At 36.9% G+C, this 22,540-nt stretch overlaps 2 long non-coding RNA genes across 2 annotated transcripts in view, besides 1 other annotated feature; one reads left to right on the top strand and one right to left on the bottom strand.

The window, feature by feature from the left end:
- MACC1-OT1 (MACC1 3' UTR overlapping transcript 1) overlaps nucleotides 1–22,540 on the bottom strand; it is a 221,446-nt gene that overhangs the window by 177,582 nt on the left and 21,324 nt on the right. The gene's annotated exons all lie outside the window — the stretch shown is intronic.
- LOC105375181 (uncharacterized) lies at nucleotides 7,298–21,993 on the top strand. The gene is made up of 4 exons (NR_187885.1): nucleotides 7,298–7,324; nucleotides 8,475–8,636; nucleotides 17,590–17,709; nucleotides 21,245–21,993. It is a non-coding gene; the product is annotated as an uncharacterized LOC105375181 (long non-coding RNA).
- Nucleotides 20,264–20,790: an enhancer, noted in NCBI's record as "NANOG hESC enhancer chr7:20156449-20156975 (GRCh37/hg19 assembly coordinates)". NCBI's record gives its function as "activates a minimal SCP1, AML or CMV promoter by ChIP-STARR-seq in naive H9 embryonic stem cells {active_cell/tissue: H9 hESC(naive)}" and the evidence as "EXISTENCE:reporter gene assay evidence [ECO:0000049][PMID:30033119]".

Raw genomic sequence — 22,540 nt, forward strand, 5'->3', positions numbered from 1 at the left:
AAAACAATGCATAAACAAAATGAGGAGTTTCATGGAGAATTAAAAACCTTAAATAATCAAATGAAAATCTTAAAGCTTAAGAATACAATGAGAGAACTGAAATTTTCAAGAGAGTTTTAACAGCACACTCAATTATGCAGAAGAAAGGATTAGTGAACTCAGACAGGTCATTCAAAATTAGCCAATGAGAGGAAGAAAAAGAAAAAAATGGTTGAGAAAGAACAAAGAAGGCATGAGGAATCTAGGGGACAGCATGAAATATGCAAATATACAAATGATGTGAGTATCTAGAGGAGGAAAGGGAGAAAAAGAATACTATAAGAAAAAAGATTTATGGGCCAGTATTACTGATGAACATAAATGCAAAAATGCTAATAAACTGAATTCAACAACACATTAAAAACGTCATTTTTACTATGATTAAGTGGGACCTGAAACTATGAATCTACCAAAAGAAAGCATAAGAGAAATTCTCCATGACATTGGTCTGGGCAAATATTTCTTAGATATTACCCCAAAATCAGAGTAATTAATAGCAAAAATAAACAAATTGTATCATATCAAACTAAAAAGCTCTGCACAGCAAAGGAAAACAATTAATATAGTAAAAAGACATCCCATGGATTAAAAGAAAATATTTGCAAACCGTAATCTAATAAGAGGCTAATATCCAAAATATATGAAAAACTAAGACAACTCGGTAACAAGAAAACAAATAATACAATCAAAAATGGGCAAAAAACATAAATACATAATTCTCAAAAAAAGATATATAAATGCCAACAGGTATATGAAAACATCCCCATCATCACTGATCATTAGGGAAATGCAAATTAAAACCACATAGAGATATCACTGGCAAGGGTATGGAGAAAAGAGAACCCTTGTGTACTGTTTGTGGGAATGTAAATTAATACAGCCATTTGCAAATAGTATGGAGGTTCCTCAGAAAACTAAAATTAGAATTACCATATGATCTAGTAAAATGACTTCTGAATATATATATCCAAAATAATTGAAATCAGTATAACAAAGAAATATCTACACTCCCATGTTCATTGCAGTATTATTCACAGTAGCTAAGATATGGAAGCAACCTAAGTGTCTATCATGAGATGAATGGATAAAGAAAATGTGATATATATACAAAAGGGAATACTACTCAACCAGTTTAAAAAAGAAGGGGTGGGAATCCCGTTATTTGCAACAGCATGGATAAACCTGGAGGACACTGTGCTAAGTAAAATAAGCCAGGCACAGAAAGACAAATGTAGCATGATCTCACTTATATGTGGAATCTAAAATAGTTGAACATATACAAGAGGAGAGTAGAATGATGATTACAACTGGCTGGGGAAGAAGGGTGGATGAAGAAAGAGGAGAGGCTGACCGGAGTACAAGGTTTCATTTAGACAGGAGAAATTAAATTTAGTAATCTATTGTAGAGAATAATGACTATAGTAAATAATAATGCGTTGTTATTTCATAATTGCAAAAAGATTTTAAATGTTTCACAACAAAAATGGCAAGTATATGAGGCGATGAATTTGTTAGCCTGATGTAATCATTCCACATTATAAACATATATCAAGAAATTACATTATATCACATAAATATATACAATTACTTGTCATTTAAAGATATAATTTTTAAAAGTTTTGAGAGAATAAAATCTGAGAGAAATCTAATATTTTGCTTGAGAAAAAAGATGAGTAAGAGAAAATGGCAAGGTGTATTGTCATTTTTCAAGATTGCATTAAATGTTGAAAATAAAAATCAGCTTCATCAAAAAATAAAATAAAATGCAAATCCTTAGACTTCACACAAACTTAATAAATCAGAATTCTTGAGGGAATTTATTTGAATAGTCATTTTTACCAAATTGTTGAGATAATTTTTTTGTTTTTTTTTTGAGATGGAGTCTCACTCTGTCACCAGGCTGGAGTGCTGTGGCACAATCTCAGCTCACTATAACCTCCACCTCTTGGGTTCAAACAATTCTCCTGCCTCAGCCTCCTGAGTAGCTGGGACTACAGGCGTGCGCCACCATGCCTGGCTAATTTTTGTATTTTTAGTAGAAATGGGGTTTCACCATGTTGTCCAGGATGGTATCGATCTCTTGACCTCGTGATCTGCCTGCCTCAGCCCCCCAAAGTGCTGGGATTAGAGGCGTGAGCCACTGCACCCAGCTGAGATAGTTTTATACATTCCAAATTTTTTTGAGAAGCACAAAAGAAAATGTGGTTGAATATCCTGTAAGGAGACAGACTAGGAGCATACAATGTATTTTTTTACTTATAAGTGAACAGCTTCTACTCTGATTTAACTTTTCCTCAAGGCCAGATGATCCAGATTTCCCTTTAGCACTTGATGATGAAATTGTATAGAAATGTGAGGAACTGCCACTGAGTAGTTAACCTGGAAAGTCTGACCTTTATAATAAAGAACTACAATGAAAGAAAAACAGCAGCAAAAGAACTGAAATGTGAGTAGAGAAGAGAGCTTAAAAATGCAAAGATGGCAGTGGCTAGCTAGATATACAGTGAGCACAGCTGAGAGTGGAGAGGTGCAGAGTCCATATGTGGATCATTGAACTAAAAGTTAGAAGTAAAGAGAACCCACTGGGTATAAAATAGGTGGTAGAATTGGTTGGTTATCTGTAAATTCTCCTTCCCTTTGTTATTTGATAAATGTGGTTATCCTGCTTATAATTTTCATGCAAAAACCTATTGAGATATATTATGAAAACCATTTGAAAGCACTGTAGTTTTGTCTCAAGCTAAAAAGAAAAACATGACAGCAAGAATTGAAGGTGGGGAATAGGAAATGGGAAGCTGTCCTACTATACTCTCTTTCCAATTCTCACCCCAGCTACCAATTCACAAGTACTAAATTCTCTGTCCAAACACACCATGAATATTTATGGCATGGGAAATTGTCCACAATGGGCCCTCTCTCCTGCATTTGGTGTAATTCTTCATCCTCTCAAAGATCTAGTTTGAATGTCACCCAGTCTGTGAAGTCATTTTCCAATCCCCTTCCACAAATCATAACTAATGCTCCTTTCTGCCTTATCTCTTTCTTATATCTTACTGATTTTTCTACTATTCTTAGTTGAATATATGAGCACTTAGAGAGTAGAAAACGCATTCTTCATGATTGAATCTCAAATTCCTAACAGAGGGCCTGGCCCGTAATATGCTCTGCTCAATAAATTATGACACCAGTTTAATTCACAGTCACTTCAATTTAAGGCAGGTCAGTTGTTGGTGCAGTGCCACTTGACACCATGCTCTCTCTCTCTCATACCTCGTTTACTAATTCTTATTTTAAGAAGGAAGAGAAAGAAAAGAAGAATCAAGGGAAGAGAAGAAGGCAAGTGTGCTCTGAAGGTTTTTATAGATAGTCTTGCCTGCCTAATGCTCATTCAAGTATTAGGCAGCATAGGCTACGTTATACCTCAGTAACAATTTAACCTCAACAAGATCAGAACCTTCACTAATCAACTGGGCTTTCTGACTCATGCTGTATATCCACCCTGGATAGGAGGAGCATTGCATTCTACACATTAGTCAAGAATCCAGAAATGACAGAAACTCTGCCATCTTTCCATGCAATCATCTTAACATTAAGTTTCAGTATTTTCTAAAAAATGGAAAAATAATGTGGATAATTTACATCTAATCTTAACTGCCTTTACCCTGAAGTTATAGATGTTACTTCCTCTCAAAATCCGCTGTTAAAATTAATGGCAAGGCCCCAGCTTAACTGCATGAGGTACTGGATAGTTTTTCTATGTATTCAGGAAGAAAACAATTAGACGTGATTAGCTCTAGTGATCTCTACCACACAAATATTTATTATGCACTATGTGTTAAATACTGGGCCAGTAAACAGGAAAATAACTGTCAGACAAAATAGAGCTTTCATAAAGCTCATGAGACAATGAAGAAGAAATAGAGCTATTCCACCTCCATAACGACAAAAGCCTGAGTTTTCAGACTCAGATGAAATGCAAATATTATCCAGCATCAAGCTTTACAGGTCATTAGCAAAGGTAATAAGAAAGGAACATCAATGGTATATACCACAGCACTATCTGGCATACCTGAACCCATCAGATGCAACCTCCTGTTTGCAGCACTGTGATGTGATTTGGTTCTGGAGTGGGTGGTGCTCACTCTGCATGGCTAGAGTGAGCATAGAGGAGCCTCTGAGTGATGTGCTCTTTCTGTTCATGCATCATCATCACACAGTATAGCTCTAGTCAGGTGATGGACTTGCATTCATCAGCACAGCTATAGTTTATAAATCTATAAACTACAGATATACTTACAGCAATCAGGCCAGAAAGATCAAGTACATTCTGCTAAAAGCATTCCTGGATTAAAGACCTAAATGTTAGACCTAAAACCATAAAAACCCTAGAAGAAAACCTAGGCAATATCATTCAGGACATAGGCATGGGCAACGACTTCATGTCTAAAACACCAAAAGCAATGGCAACAAAAGCCAAAATTGACAAATGGGATCTAATTAAACTAAACAGCTTCTGCACAGCCAAAGAAACTACCATCAGAGTGAACAAGCAACCTACAGAATGGGAGAAAATTTTTGCAATCTACTCATCTGACAAAGGGCTAATATCCAGAATCTACAATGAACTCAAACAAATCTACAAGAAAAAAAACAAACAGCCCCATCAAAAAGTGGGTGAAGGATATGAACAGACACTTCTGAAAAGAAGACATTTATGCAGCCAAAAAACATATGAAAAAATGCTCATCATCACTGGCCATCAGCGAAATGCAAATCAAAACCACAATGAGATACCAGCTCACACCAGTTAGAATGGCAATCATTAAAAAGTCAGGAAACAACAGGTGCTGGAGAGGATGTGGAGAAATAGGAACACTTTTACACTGTTGGTGGGACTGTAAACTAGTTCAACCATTGTGGAAGGCAGTGTGGCGATTCCTCAGGGATCTTGAACTAGAAATACCATTTGACCCAGCAATCCCACTACTGGGTATATACCCAAAGGATTTTAAATCATGCTGCTATAAAGACACATGCACACGTATGTTTATTGCGGCACTATTCACAATAGCAAAGACTTGGAACCAACCCAAATGTCCAACAATGATAGACTGAATGAAGAAAATGTGGCACATATACACCATGGGATACTATGCTGCCATAAAAAAAGGATGAGTTCATGTCCTTTGTAGGGACATGGATGAAGCTGGAAACCATCATTCTCAGCAAACTATCGCAAGGACAAAAAACCAAACACCACATGTTCTCACTCATAAGTGGGAATTGAACGATGAGAACACCTGGACGCGGGAAGGGGAACATCACACACTGGGGCTTGTTGTGGGGTGGGGGGAGGGTGGAGGAATAGCATTAGGAGATACACCTAATGTTAAATGACAAGTTGATGGGTGCAGCACACCAACATGGCACATGTATACATATGTAACCTGCACGTTATGCACATGTACCCTAAAACTTAAAGGATAATAATAATAATAAAAAAGCATTCCTAGGTCAGTCATTGGGAGCTAATACATTTCAACGGTCAATATTTACAAGGAGGTCTGTTTGGAGTTAAAAGAAAAACACTTCAGGTATTCTCAAATACGAAAGAATGAGTTACGGACCCAGTGTCGACTGCCTCCTTTCAGCACCTAGCCCAACCATTTGCTAAATAAAAGTATACCTACCAGTGGTGAGTGCCCAAAGTGCATGGGGCACTCACTACTGTGGGAGGTTTACTTTTAAAAGTATCGGTCCGCACCCCCACCCACCAAAGTGCATGCTACTATGGGGGTGGGGGCAGGAACTGACATCTCAGAGAAGTCAGAGAAGATTTATATGAAAAAGTGGTGTTTGAACTGAGATCAGAAGAAAGAGCCAGAGTTAGCTGGGTGGCAGAAGAAATAGCATATGGATAGGAAAGGAGCAGGCCTGTTTGAGTAACTCAAAGAAATCAGCGGGACTGGACTGTGAGGAGCAAAACAGAAGGCTGGGGAGGGGAAGTGATTTCAGACAGGCCTGACTGGCTCAAACCATGGGTGGGACAAGATAAATTAGGGATCTTTATCTCAGAAGCAAAGAGAAATATTGAAATAGTTTTATTGAGGGAGCACAGAGAATGACGTGATCATTGGAGGCAGTGAGAGAGTGGAAATAATGAAATGGGTTAGATAACCACTGCAGACATCTTAGCAGAGAAGACGATAAGGGTGAATAAGGGTGCTGTTGTGTTGACAAAGAAAGGTGGCCTGATTCAAGAGATATTTAGGAGGAAAAAGTGACTGGAATTGGTAATGGCTTGGATATGAAGAGAGAGTACAGAGAGTTATTAACCGTATCTCTGTGACTTGTGTAACTGGATGATACCGTCCACCATAGAAAACAATAGAAGCCAAACAGGTTCAGACCACTGTGGGAGAACAGTGAGAACCCAAAGAGCAAATCCTTGGCTTTTGCACTCAAGCAAGCATGGCCTAGTTATAGGCTGGCATTATCCAGAAGGCTCCTATGAGCAACAAATTATGAACTGCATTGTAAACAAAGAATATGTGAAAAGGAATTGAAGGGTAATTTTGAGAACAGCCTCTAAGTGCTCACACATGAGTGACAGAAATTCAGTGACAGAAGGGAAATGGAAGTGCCATTGTCACATTTTTTATACCGTATCTTTTAAAGCAGTTGGGAGCTACTGGAGAGAAAAAATGGAAGTGGGATGCTAGAAGGAGAGGGGAAGGCAGAGATAGAGGGAAAGAACAGAATTGTTTGCTAAAATTCATGTTATGTTACGAGATATTCATCATTATAGAGGACAGTTAAGGCCGGGCATAGTGGGTCACACCTGAAATCCCAGTACTTTGGAAGGCCAAGGAGGGAGAATCACTTGAGGTCAGGAGTTCAAGACCAGCCTGGACAACATAACAAGACCCCATCTCCACAAAATAAAAAATAAAAATCTTAGCCGGATGTGGTGGTGTTCACTTGTAGTGCCAGCTACTCAGGAGGGTGATGCAGGAGGATCACTTCAGCCCAGGAGTTCCAGGTTATGGTGAACTATGATCATGCCCCTGCATTACTGCCAGACACTATCTCTAAAAAAAATATAGGGGCAGTCAGATACATTTGTATTTTCTTTTTTGTTTGTTTGTTGTTGCTGTTTTGAGACAGGGTTTCACTCTGTCACCCAGCCAGGAGTACAGTGGCGCAATCTCAGCTCACTTTAACCTCCGCCTCTTGGGCTCAAGGGATTCTTCCACCTCAGCCTTCCAAGTAGCTGGGATGACAGGTGTGTGCTACCATGATATTTGTCTTATATAATGATATGGTTCCTTTAAAAATCAAGTATAAATAAAGGAATAAAGCATTAAATTAAGCTCTAACATAAATAGAGGATAAAAAATGGTCTAGTGAAAATTAGTGTGTTATTTGTGGGATTAAAAAAAGGAAAGGAATAGATAAAACCATAAGGAAGAGTAGGAAGATTTGCTCAAGCACTTGTCAAAGCTTTTGTGTACCTCAATTCTAGTTCCTCAGCTGGCATTCAGTAGCTGTGTGACCTTGGACAAGTGTTTATTCAATGCATGTCTCAATTTAATCACCTTTAAAATAAAATTAATAACAGCTGTCCTGCCCACATTAAAAAATAATGTATGAAGATTCTTTAAAAATTGTAAAGCTGTTTATATAATTACACATATATTATATAATTATTGCTATGGTTTGACTGTGTGCTCCAGAATTTACATGTTGAAAACCTAATCCCTAATGCAACAGTGTTGAAAGTGGGGCCTTTGGCTAGGTGTGTGTAGGTGGAGCTCTCATGAATGGATTAATGCTGCTACAAAAACAAAACAAAACAAACAAACAAAAACCTTAGGGGGTAGGTTCACTCTCTTCTGCTCTTCTGCCATGTGAGGACACAGAGTTTGTCCCTTTTTACCCTTCCGCCTTCTGTTACATGAGTATACAGCAAGGAGACTTCACCAAATGCCAGTATCTTCATCTTGAAGTTTCCAGCCTGAGAGAAGTAAATTTCTGTTCCTTATAAATTATCCAGTTTCACATATTCTGTTATAGCAACACAAAAGGCTAAGGCAATTACATGATTATATTATTATAGTAAATATAACTATTAATTCTCAGAATAAACACCTATGGCCCTGAATAAGCTAGGTGAATAAACAATAGACAAGCCTCCAGCATAAACAGAGAAGGATAAATTCACAGTGAGAACTCTGTGTAAGGACAAGTAAGGTGAAGTCAACACTGACTGTTTATGTTTTGAGAGGTTTTACTGGAAGTGCGTGTGCAGCAAAACACAACATTCAAGCAAATGAAAATAATCATGAAATTATCTTGCCAAGAATGAAATCTTAGAGGAGGGGACTTCCAAGGTTTTCTTTCTTTCCCAATTTTAGTTGTTTTTTTTTTTAAAGGTGTAAGATCTGGGACTACATTCTATTTTCTGTAAATTGTGCAGAGCAAGTGTGTGGTGACCGTTTTTTCCCCCTCGGATTTTAATCTACTGGATATGCCCATAGAGTTTGCAGGAATAACGGCTGGTTCTGGAAGCTGTTGGAGATGTGAGATAAAGAAAGGTGAGTGTGTCATAAATGTTTTATGTAAATCTTGAAGAAATGATGGGAGAAGTGGACTTGTGCATGTTTATTTCCTCATCTTATATGCATTATTTTTCCATTTTTAGTATTTTTGCACTTGGAATGCAGCTTATGGCTATGTATACATTTAATGAAGTATTTCTTACATACACACACCCCAACACACTCATTAATAAATCGGTACATGTCTCATGGAAGGCATATTTAGGTGATGAAAGAAGTACAATATATTAACTAAGAGTGGTCACAATTTTTTAACAATCTGTCCAGTAAAAAACAAAAATAATTCGTTTGCAAAAATGTTATTGTGAAGGGGATAATCTTCATTCGTTCAAAAAACTTTTATTAAATACCTACTATGTGCTGGTCCTGTCCTAGAGAAACAAATACATGGGCTCGTAGAGGAGGATGTGAGGAAGCCATCCTATGCAGAAAGGTCATTCTTGAAGATAACCCTGGATTTACTCTGCCATATTCCAAAGAACTTGCTCAGAAGTCACCTCTGTATACTGTCCTCCCTGTTCTCCTCCAGGCCTCTGATTCTTTGATGTAGCTCATTTTCAAACCAAAGATCATCAAGCCTCTCAAAGCATACTCTTTAATCCAGTTTTATCTAGAATGGGATGGAGGTGAATGATTCTGAGCCTCCACCCAGGAATCATGACCTGTTAAAGTGTTTTCTTCCACAGGAGTCACAGTTTGCTTTCCAGAGGATCCCCAACCAGCTCCCATAGTCATCAGTTCACTCCAGTGAAGTTCAAGATTAAGTGCTAAGAGTAGAATGCCCTAGGCTCACCCCTGTAATCCAACAACTTTGAGACGCCAAGGCGGGTGGATCACTTGAGGTCAAGAGTTTGAGACTAGCCTGGCTTATGTGGCGAAACCACATCTCTACTAAAAATGCAAAAATTAGCCAGGTATGGTGGTGTGTGCCTGTAATCTCAGCTACTTGGGAGGCTGAGACAGTAGAATCGCTTGAACCCTGGAGGCAGAGGCTGAGATTGTGCCACTGCACTCCAGCCTGGGCAAAAGAGTGAGACTGTCTCAGAAAAACAAACAAAACAAAAACAGTAGAATCCACAACAATTGTCTTAGACCTAAGGAATAAAATTTCATTTCTTCATCATGACATTTATGGTTTTAAGAACTTAGGATAAAACAATGTTCTCAACTCTTTCTTCTTCTTACCTTCCATATAATTCCATCCATTATAATCAAATTTATAATGTCTGCTTATTTGCTTACTCCTGCCTAATGCCTGTAATCATGCTATTCTTCCATTTAAAAGTGAGAAACAAATACAATGAAGTACACAAATAAACTACTCAAATTTTCTTATTTATATATAAACCCATTTACCCAAACCAAGGTCCAGAACATTCTCAGCACTGCATATGGCACCACCTTTTCTGCCTTTCCTGTTACCACCTTCCCCAGAGATAATTACTTTTCTCATGGATATTAATATAGCTAGTTTTTTTTATAGAATAGTTTGACTTAATTGTCTAAGAGGAATAAGACAATGAAAGGAAAGGACCATACTGAAAGGAAAGCATAAATTAGTTTTTTCTGACTGGAAACCTTTTTCAGTAGCCACTTCACTATATAACAAGACCCATGAGCTGAGCCTGGGTTACCATTTAGCTATTATAATGTCCCAAATTAATAAAAACTGAATTTAAAATTTCACTGCTGCAGTCATCTCTTCATTATTTTCCCAGTAGTATCTGTGAAATAGGTTGACCAACATGTGACCCAAGAATGAGAAGTTCCACACTGACTTTTTAAGAAACTATCTTATAAAATGATTCCCTTTATTTCTTATAAAGAAATGAAGATATAAAGTCTGTTTGAAGAGATTAAATTTTTAAATTTTATATTTTAATGGTATATTTTTGTGTGCTTTTTAATGATGATACAAGCCTATAGGATGCTGTTCTGACTTATGTAACTCAGATAGAGAAGTTCCAGAATGGCATTCCTGAATTCTCCCCACAAAAATAGCCCTCCTTTGAGCCACCGATCAAGAGACTGAGAGTCTAACTGTTCAACCAGTTATCAATCTACTTAACCACACTATCACTGAGCTTAGGTTTCTCTGATTTTTAAGGTTATCACATGAAACTTTATTAAAATCAAATTATTATGTCCATGACATCTCTGACTGACCTATGTAGTGATTCACACAAAAAATAGAAAAGAGAAATGAGATCAGTTTGAGAAAACAATACTTTTATCAAATTTCTACCAAACTTACATCATGTCTCCTGACAATCAACATATTCATTGAGGAACAGCTATCTGTAGGGCACCACACTAAGCAAGAAATAGACGACAACTCCATTCTAAAGCCAATTGTGATCGTTAATAGTGAAGATACAAGTATGAAAATGATTACCACCTGGAGTCATGTCAAGATGAAGATATATTTCTCTAGAAAAGACTGTTAAGAGAGTAAAATCTTAGGGCAACAGTGCTGACGGCCCTTGGCAAGTAAATATGATGCAAGGACAGAAGTTAGCAGTGTGAGAGGCAGAAGAGAGTCATTTTGGCAAAGGTACCAGGAAGCTTCGGTTATCCCTAACAACCAAATATTTAGAACTGAAATGTAGCCAAGCTCATAAAGCCTCTTCTCCTTCTGCCACCAATTCTATTGTTCCTGAAGCTGAGAGAGAAAGAGAGAGAGAGAGAGAAGGTGATAGCCAAACAAATGCTATCAAAGTCCTGTGATGAAATACAAGGAGTTCTAACCCCTAGGGTCACCAGACATACCAGAAAATAATATTCCCAATGTTACAAGTGCTCTTTGCCCTTTGTCCCTTGACTGGGAAAGTATATTAGAAATTATAGTCATATTTTTCCTTTTGGTTGATAGAAAGAAACTTAGGAGTCATCCAATTTCAGTTAATATCAAATCAATTCCTATTAGTAGAAAAATCCAACTCAGCATTGCATTTTCCTTGGCTTGAAAAATGATATTCAGAATTATCTGGCTGGAATTAAAGTTCAGCTTCTCTGCTTGTCTCTGTGTTGAGCTGCAGTTAGTCTTGAGATGTCAAGCAAAATTATAATTAAAGCACTGAATAGGTTAATCCATACCTAGACTTAATGTTTTAAAAGGACATTTAAAATGTACCTTTATATTTATTTGACAAATCTGCATACACACCTAACTCTTTATATATCTCATTTCATCTAGTCCATGATAGAACACTTTGTATTGTTTAAGCCTTTTGGCTGTACAGATGGTTCTTAATTTGTAATAAAAAAAAAAGTATTTGTCAGTTTTCTTTTCAACCTGTCTTATTTATATATCACGAGGACAAAGAACGTTCCCAAATGGTTCAGAGAGGGAGAATTAGTATTTGCTGCTCTTTTTCCCTCTTAGCTTCTCATTTTATTTTTAATGTTTGATCCAAAGTCATCTCACTCCTACTCGACAGTGTGGAACTTTCTTGCTTCTCTTGCCTCTTGCTTTGACTATTCGAGTCAATCCAAAATACTGCTAGAGAAAATTTATGTTTGACTGTAACAACTCTGAGCTTAACTTGGAATGGTGGTGACCATTCTTCTTATGAAAACTAATAGTTCATTACTTCCCAAGTCATTCTATTTGAATTTTGAGTCACTCTTATTTTTAGAAGTTTGCCTTTATCGAGCCAAAACCCAGGCAACGAATCATTGGTCCTATTCTGTAATACGAAACCAAACAGAATCAGTCTAATGATCCTTCTATATACAAATTTATAATCCTTTAAGGAATCTATATGATGCTAGCTTTTTTTGGTTTTTAGTTAATTTGCTTTGTTTTGAAACAAAAATTTCCAAGCAAAATAGTGAGATTTTTCTAGAGACAGAAAGAAACAGAAGTGCCAATTTTCTTCTAATTTTTCATCTAATTAAATCTTTGATTCGAATTCTCCATTTGACAAATGAGAACGTCTACTTCCAACTCTAGTCTTCACAAATATATGCAAGACAGGATGGTTACATTTTATAAAGTCAATTTAGCTCATTATTCTCTACCAATAGACTTAGTTCACATGCTAGAAAATTGAAGTATTTGATCAGTTAGGAAGAAAATATATGTGATTTTACAGGACTCTTGAGCAATTTTTAAGAAGAGAGGAAAGGGGCATTCTTCCTTAATTATCTAACTTAAATTTCACCTCCTCTGTGAAGTCCTCCTCTTTCCCCAGCTTTCTTTACCCTTCAGTCATCACCTATTTCCCTTTAACGTTTTGTGCAATGGTCATATCCCAACTTTGGATTATATTTCAATATGTACAAACTGATCTCTAGTCTAGCCAGTGGGCTACTGGAGGACAAGAAAGTTAACCACTTGTATCTCAGGCACATTGTGAGGAATCAATAGATATTAATTCACTCGAATTAGAAGTTGAATTAACTCTATTTCCCAAAGACAAGCTGAATAGATTCTATTGATTTGTTCCAAGGTCATAGATGTTGATGGTTTCGAATGAAGCTGATTCAGCTTTCCTGGTCTCATCCGGACAAGCTGATTCTATACACACCATTTGTTCATTTTGTGAAACTATGTTCCTAAGAAAATATATTGAGCTTTCATTCTCACAATATGTATAATACTTGTATTTTGCAACTTACAATATTGGCCGTATTCAATAAGGGGACATTTTCTACAAGAATTGCTCTCAGATGGATACCATGGATGGCCACAAAGTTTTCCTTTGTGCCATTTTTAGCAGAATCCTAGACACATCCTACAAATTTATATGATTTTTAGATCATAACTCATACTTTTTAATTACCTTGGTATTTTTGGAAGGCTTTTCCTAGTCAGGCAAAGAGACCATTCTAAACCAAAAGGAAAGCTCCATTTGGGGTGGAAAATGAGCAGACTAAAAAAATACATCCAAAGGGCAAAAATAGATATATCTGTGTCCGATTTTTTACACCAGTCTCACAAAATCTATGCCTAGAACATTTTCACAGGACACTGGTACCATGGAGAGATCAAATGATAAACTTATATGGCATTTGATTAGATTAAATTATAACTAGCCAGATTCTGATCAAGCAAAGAAACACACAAAGACACATGGCACAGAGCTAAGTTCTAGGTGTTTTTACCTAGGACCTTTTCAGCCTCTGGTGGCAGAGGAGAAATAAGAATTGATTGGTGAAGGCTATCCTTGCCCTTCTGAAGAGAAGTGATTTCTTCCTACTTCAGGATGTTCATATATAGCTGCCAAGCAGAGCCAAGGAAGCCGTCAACCTGGGAACAAATTTTGGTGGTACTGAACCACTTCTGTCTTGTTCCCCCTTACTGTGCCTATTGATTTGGGGACTGAGCCCCAAAGGCCAGATATTTTAAGGGACATTCAATATATGAGAATTATGTGTGAATTATGAAGTGTATAAAGCAAGATGCTTTGAAACTCTGTGTCCAATTAAGTGGTGTTTCACCTTGTCTGAGCTTGTTTCCTAATTAGTAAAGTTAAATGAAGAAATTGAATGATTTCACTTAATTCCTAAATAGCAGATTGGAATCAAACTTCCTATACTTAGCTCCTCCTACACTTTATTGTTTAGGATATGTCAATAGCAGAAAACACAATTACCAGTGAGGAAAACTAAATCATCACCACCATTATCACCATCATTGTCATTGTTATTATTATTATTGTCATGTTCATCACAGCATGGAAGAATATTTTTCAGAGTTTTTATTCTGTTTCTTAAAGAAGGCAATTTAATATACTCAGAGTTGCAGTCTTTGACCAGTGTTAAGGTAACAGCTCAATGCTTGTGATCCAATCCTTACATAACTTGAGGGGAAGATTTATTTGTATATTTATCTTTGTTGAATACCTACTAAGTTTGCCATCTATCCTTTTTGACACCTCTTTTTATCACTTCAAAGTTGAGATAATGGTAACTATGTATTGTAATAATAATATTTTTTAAAAATCTGTAATTGGCATTTCCAATATTTATTACTCAACTTTCTATATATATAACTTTTTGGATTCTTTCTAAATTAGTATGCTTTACATCATAGAGGGCACTCAGGACCTGTCTCCAGGCTTCACTGCTATATGACAGATGCCAAAAATACATACACTAGAGGACTTTGGAAATCTGAAGAGTCCATACAGAGTATTAGTGATTCTTTTCTCTGTGTCATTTGTAGGATATAGTCTATTATTATCACGTTTGAGTTGTAGCTCATTTGGGTTTTTTTTTCCTTTTAGATATGAATATCAGAAGATATATTATAAAAAAGGGTTAAATACAACCCCCTTCCACTAGTCCAGCTTTAAATCAAATGCTGTCAGCTAATGTAATATATAATATAAATATGATTTTCTTAGTCATTTACAGTAACATTTTCACAGTGACATGAAAGTGATATCTCTAAAATAAAAGTCTGATGATAATGCTGCCTTTTCTAAAACACTTCAGTGGCATCCCACACCTCATTGTTGAAGCTGAAACTCCTTAGTATAAAATATAAGAGGCTCTGTTATTTTGCTCTTGCTTATTGCTCTATTCCTTGTCCATTAATGCCACATCCCACATTCATGGGTTTTTACCCTCGGGTGTAACAATTCATGATACTTGTTTTCAAAGACAGTGATAGATGCAGGTCTCCATATATGATAGAAGTTACAGTTTGTTTAAGGTATATTCTAAGGTCTTAGATGAAGCATAAAGCATAGATGCTTTATGATGTGAAAATATCTATAAGTTTATTGAGTCACAGAAACCAGGAAATAGGGACTTTCCAGGTGCTCTGTTAATCCATGTTGTTGTAAAGATGCATGATCATTAACTTCACTGAAAGAAATGGTAAGCCCAGTAGAACATTAAGTGCCCCAGCATAGTTCCCATATAGGATCTGAGGAAAGGGACATTTGTTTTCATTCATTCACATTTCTGTAAAAAAAAAAAAAAAAAAAAATACACACGGTGTCTTGTATTGTGTCACAAGAAAAGTAGAAAATGTTCTCAATGACGAAGGGTCACTTTCTTGTTACCATTAACTAGAGTTTTCCTCATGGAATGAATGATATCACTGCTTGTTTCCTTCTGAGCTCTCTCTAAAAAAACCCTTTTCATTTCCTTCTGAGCTATACCTAGAAAAGCCCTTTCCTTTACTGAGTATTACCAAGGAAAGGTGAAAAATGAGTTTCCTCTAAGTATTTCTGATTCATACTTTTTCATTTCTATATTGACTTGGTTACACACAGCATATTTCTGTGATTTCAGGTTCTTCTTGTAATTCTTTTTTAGCACCAAAACATGTTGTCTATCTTTTTATATACATAATGAAGTATGCACATTGAAAAAGTGAAAATATGTACTCTCTGTTGCACCTTGCTATTTATCTTCCAAAAAGAATGAATCCTTGAAAAAAACAGCTGGGCATTAAAATAACAAACATATCTAGTACATGCCAGAGAAAATTTATAATAAATTTAGAAAATAATCTTTTTATAATAGGTCCTCAGATAGCAGCCTAATATCACATATGCCTTGTCTAATAATCCCTACAGCCATCTGAGATTGAGAGAGAGTTAGGAGCCTCACTGCATGTGCTAAACACTAAAGTAATTGGAGCTGAGGCAAGGCTATTCTAAAGAAAGCCTGTATCTCAGTGGGGAGCTCCCTTTTCAAAACTATCTTGTTCACACAATCCAAATGACATTTGGAAGCAGCAGCAGCTTTGGACAAATTGCAGCCTTTTGCAAGTACATTCTCCAAATCTGGTTCTGCTGGAGTTACAGTCCAAAGACTCAAGTTAGATTCCAGGGCCTACCACTTAGACTTACAAGCTGTATGACTATAATCTATTTACTTCTCTGTGCTTCAGTGCCCTCATAGATAAAGTGCATATGATTATAGTACCTACACCTCATAGGTAGGTACTATGAATGTTAAGACAGTAGAAATGCCTAGCATATAGTGTTTAATGAACTTTTATCATTACTATGATTAAGGTAGCTAGATATACAGAAAAGAAAACATTGGTAAAATGAGAATCACTTATGGAATCTCTTCTCATTAGATTTACCTGGTATCAATACACTATAGAGCACACAATTATGTCCTTGCTCTCCTTAGCTATCTATGGTTTCATCATGGTCATTTCCAGGAGGGGTCTGAATATTCTGTGTTTTAATCCACACAAGGGTAACAGAAGAAAATACCTGAGTTCTAGAAATGCCTCAGCACTGGAAAAGTTACCTGATATTCAGGGCCACTCTCACAGGAGCTGCTTTCTAGCCATCTCTTCTGAGAGCAGTGTCACACTGGGAATACACAGAGGACCATGATGTAAAAAGCAGCAGTGGCTCCTTTCTGTCAAAACTAGTACTCTGTTCCTGCTTCCTTGTGAAAGACAGCATAAAAGAGGAAATGAAAGCGTTTCAAAGACTTGATTAGTTTGTGACTAGAGAGTCAGCTCAGGTGAACAAAATGATTAGTATGGGACCAAAAAGGAAAAAAAAAACCTCAATTTGGATTCTGAATCAGATTTCTGAGATCACTTAACTCATTAAGTACCATCTCCATTCAAAATCCTTTTACATCAAACAACATGAGAAATATGCACAACTACAAAACGAAACACAACAAAACCTTAGATGTTAGGAGGTCACGTTCAAGGGTATCAGCAAAGGCATGTTGGGATCCTCACAGAAACAAAATGTTAATTAACGTGGGTAACAATGTGGACTGGGGAAACAAACACCATTACCTACCTAAACAGCTGGCTTGATATAAAAGAAAACTGTGTGCCATTCTATTCTCTTTATAGTAGTCTTCTCTCTCTTGATCAAATAGAATTTTGAGTTTTATATCTACTGTTTAAGATTATACTGAATTTGAAGAGTCACTATCTCAATATATTTGAGATTATATTGAATTTTCTCTTTATACTTTCTAGAGAATAAATATAAAACATCAATACTACTATTTTGAAACACTGATTTACTTTTCGGAAAGAGAAGAAAGGGCAAAGGGATGGGAACTAATATAGATATACCAAATTATGTGCAACACACACGTAAGTAACTTTCATTTTATTGGTTAGTTTCCTAAATACTATACATGAACTATCATGTTAATCCTTGCAATAGCCCAATAAGGTAGGTTCATTTTTATTCCAATTTTACAAATAAGAAAATAGTCTCAGGGAAGGTAAGTAATTTGCCACAATAATCTCAGTAGCTTGAAGGAGGAAGAGCCAACCTAGATCCACCTGCCTGGGAAACTTTGCTTATTGCAGTTCACCACATTGCCTAGTTAGCCAGAGACTCTGAATAAACTCTTCCAGAGCCTGATTTCTAAAAGGATCTAATTTAATGGTTAGCTCTCTAAGAGAAGCTGCCTTTCCTCTAGGGGGAAGGCATTGACAATTCTAGACAGTGACGTAACCCTCTGCTCAAGGCTGACTTCCTCTTTGTTGGTGACAGCTGAATTCTCCTCCTGGTTCAATCTAAGAAGCACAAAACCAAGTGCACTGCCTCATTGGGCAAGAGAAAAGTGATGAGCGTGCAGAGAGATGCCTGGCAAAGAAGATTACAAACAGCTTGTTTGGAAAGAGTATTTGAGTTTTAGAAAGAAATAGAGTTCATGCTTTTAAGTAGAGGCATGCAAATTTTGGCACATAAACTTCCTGCTTAAGAAATAAATTATCAATCCATGCCCCAGGTTGTAAAGAATTAAGTCAGATTCTTCCCATAACCTAGAACTCTCCTTGTTAGTGATAAAAATTACTTAGGACTTTGTTATTTCATTGCAATAATTAGCACTGACAACTGAGAAGAGACTGAGGTAAGAATGGCCACTAAGACTAAGCTAGTTTTCCACGTTACTCATTAAATCCTTTTAGACTCAGTCCAAGCCCCATCACAGGCATGTCTCATCCCTGAGCTCCTCTTCTAGACTGAGGATGAACCTCACCACCTCACTCTTCTTAGAGACTATATGGATTAGTAATTATCTCATGTACTATACTTATTGTATCTCTTTCAATTCTGGGATGTAACAAAATAGTGGAAATATACAAGTGATAAACCAAAACAATGTATTTGGTATTATAATCTTTCACAAGCCTAGCATGGTTCTGAGTATACTGAATCACAACACTTTAAAACAGCAATTAAAAAAGCTGAGCCCTTTTATATTTGCCAGGCACTATTTTAAGGACGTGTTTCTATTATTTTATAAATTTTTCATAAACACCCTGTAAGATAGGGACTGTAAATGCTCTTACATGCCCCAGTCTGACTTCTGAACCTACTTCCTTTACACTCCGCCACTCTACCACCTACTGAGAGGACTCAGAGCTAGAAAGAATATCTTCATTTTACAAATAAAGTGAAGAACCAGAAAAGTTAACCACCTTGCCCATGCTTAAACTATTACTAGCAGAACTGAGCTAGAAGCCAGTTTTCTGATCCTACTTTCAAAATTATTTGACAACATACCTTTCTGTAAGGGAAGTAATTCATTTATAGAATTTTTGTGCAATTTTAATGTTTTAGAGGAAAACTGTGGCACTTTCAAAGTTTCTCAGTCCCTTGCATACTATCTTCATGGCATATGTGTTATCTTTTATAAAATAGTAATACACAATAATGTATTGTCTTAAAAATAGCATCCTTACCTCAATGCCAGATGGAAAAATATTTCTCAACTACTAAATGTAAATATTAGCTGTGAATGATTTGAGATTCTGCCTGATGAGGAAGCTTTTAGCAGAAAAAGTGGGTTAAGGCTTTAATTTTTAATTCACTTTTATTTAGATAAAACAAACGTGTAGAAAAGTATGGGATATACTACTGTTAATGCAAGTACTCATGTACAAAAATACCTAAACACATATTAATACTTTGCTACATATGGTTTAAAGCCCCTTTAGAAAACAAAAACAGAAACATTATAAAAACGGCTAATGCCTCACTACCATCTGCTTCTTCTACTAAATGTGGCCACTCTTCTGAAATAGTCATACATTGTCCCTACGCATGTCTTACATACTTTCACTACTTACATATGCATGCAGTCATAGGTAATATACAATAATTTTATATGTTTAAAATGTATTTGAAGGGGCCGGGTGTGGTGGCTCACGCCTGTAATCCCAGCACTTTGGGAGGCCAAGGTAGGCAGATCACGAGGTCAGGAGATCGAGACCATCCTGGCTAACATGGTGAAACCTGGTCTCTACTAAAAATAAAAAAAAATTAGCTGGGTGTGGTGGTGGCCTCCTGTATTCCCAGCTACTCGGGAGGCTGAGGCAGGAGAAAGGTGTGAACCAAGGAGGCGGAGCTTACAGTGAATGGAGATCTCTCCACTGCACTCCAGCCTGGGTGACAGAGCAAGACTCTGTTTAAAAAAAAAAAAAATGTATTTGAAGGGTTATCTATTATACAACTACATATTACTTTACTTTCTTCCCTGACATCATGTTTTGTTCTAGTTTTCAGTAAGATACTGCTATCTTTAGGCATATAAATGATATCCCTCGATGTTAGGGCATATGACAAATGTGAGTATAAGATATGACTATGAAGGAAAACCACATATTTAAATAACAGATCCCTGTGAGGCAAAGACTATCATGTATCTTGTTATGTATTTTATCATCTTTAATGCAGATAGAATACTTCTTAAATAAAAATGAAAAATTGACATTATAAAAGTGGAGTGGAGATATAAACAAAACCAAGTATTCACATACAGAGAACCAACTGCTAAAACATCATGAAAATCTAGGACAAGGGAGGCCCACCAGAGAAGGGTAAAGAATTCCGAATGCTCTTGGATTCTAGCCCTGCTGAGCCACTAGGGCTATTGCCCACCTGCTGCTCTGGCCTTTCCAATACCCCTGTCCCCGCCTATCTTACTCTCCTGTGCTTACAAACACTCTTTATCTTTTCTTAGCCCAGCTCTGAGTTTTAGCCAGAGAAAATGCCAGTGGAACATCTCTTCCCTTCTCTTGAAATTCTGTCACCCAACGAAGCCTCCTGACAAGTTCCCCATCACTGGAGCTCTTTTGCAAACATCCTCCCATTAACTACAAATTATTTTGCCTTTCTGACTTGTTGCATTATTCATGCTTTTAGCCTCATGAAATAACTCCCCAAGGCATGTTATTCCTTTTGGCACAAATTTTTCATTTTCCATGCCTATTTTGTGTGACTAAAACATAAGCAATCATAATAACTTGGTGGCTTCTGCAGTGATGTTTCTCCAGAACTCTATCGTCATCCCATATAAAACATATAGTATGGCTTTTTCAAGTGAAAAGATTAATATCTTATTATTCCTATTAAGACTTTTAAGTCTGAAGTTAGAGATGACAATAAGAGTATTGGTTTATAACTCATTCTAATACTAGAGGAACTCCAGGAGCCCCACGACTGGAGCCAAAATAACTACAAAGTGATAATACACATGTGTATGTCACTTAACAGTTTTGTAAATCACGTTTGCTGACATTACTTCATGTGATTTTCACAACAGTAAGAGGTTTAAAAATGAGGGACATGCAGACTACTAGCCTTTTAATTTGCTTCTATTTTCACAAATAGCATCCTTACAGAGTGCTGCAACCAAAAGCCAGAGAGTGTCTTGCCTTTCACAATGCCAAATCAAAAAGGTGAATGCATAGCCCACTCAGAGAAATAAAGCTTATGAAGACAGTCTTCGCTACAGGAGCCTGCTCATCATCCAATATCGTCCTCTTGGCTGTGCACCTTTTGATGTAACACTGAAATGAGAATCAACCAACCTAAATATCTGTAACAATATCTGGGAAGATGTATAATTCAGAATTGCATGAAGACAACAAAAGATTAGTTGACACTTAGGACTGGCAATTTTGTGTGTGCTCCTGTAACCCCAGCCACATGTAACTCCATGCCTGGAGAGTGTTCTGGAATCTGGGCATATCTTCTCTACAGTATTCGACTTGTCTCTTGAATGCCATACATGGCAATTTTGTATGCTGAATTGTGTCCCCTCTCTCCAAATTCATAAGTTGACGTCGGAACCCTCATTACTTCAGAATATAACTGCATTTTGGAGATAAGGTTTATAAAGAGGTAATTAAGTTAAAATGAGGTCCTAACCCAATCTGACTAGCATCCTTCAGAGAAGAGGAAGAAATGCCAGGGCTGTGAGTGCACAAAGGGTCAACTATGTGAAGAGGCATCAAGAGGGCAGCCATCTGCAAAGTCAGAGAGATAAACCTTAGGAGAAACCAACTTGCCAGTGCCTTGATTTTGGACTCGCTTCTTCAGAAATGTGAGAAAATAAATTTTGTTGATTAAGCCACCTAGTCTGTAGTACTTTGTTATGGCAACCGTAGCAAACTATTCCAACAGCAAAGAACGTTAGTCCTGGGTATTTCAAGTGCACCAAATGGCTAACTCTGCAATCAAGATAAAGCGTCACAAGGAGTCTGGAGTTCTCACCTCCCTCATCCAAAAACCCTCAACCTTGGTTCCCAGTCACCCTCCACCAACACCCTCCTTCTTATTTTGTTTGGCTTTGCCTCATGTCTTGTCAGTCATCCTCTATACCATGGATTTTGGTAATGATAGGGGCCCAGTAGCTTTAGATTCTGAGCATTGAAAAGAAATATGTTCTACATGGGCTGGTCTTCAGGCACACTGTCTAAAGGGTAATCAAACATTTCCCATGAAATGTAACCACCCTCTTGCCATCAGATCTTGTATGTATTGTTGTACAGAATATGTTTTATCAGTTCTTCAATGTGATTTGCCATAAAACAACCCCTTCTTTTTATTTGAACTTTGATATACAACATACTCCAAGAGGAGGTTAAGTTTCTTGAACTGGTTGTGAGGAGGGTTAGGAAATTT

This window comes from Homo sapiens, chromosome 7 (genome assembly GCF_000001405.40).
Source record: "Homo sapiens chromosome 7, GRCh38.p14 Primary Assembly".
NCBI classification, from domain to species: Eukaryota; Metazoa; Chordata; class Mammalia; order Primates; family Hominidae; genus Homo; species Homo sapiens.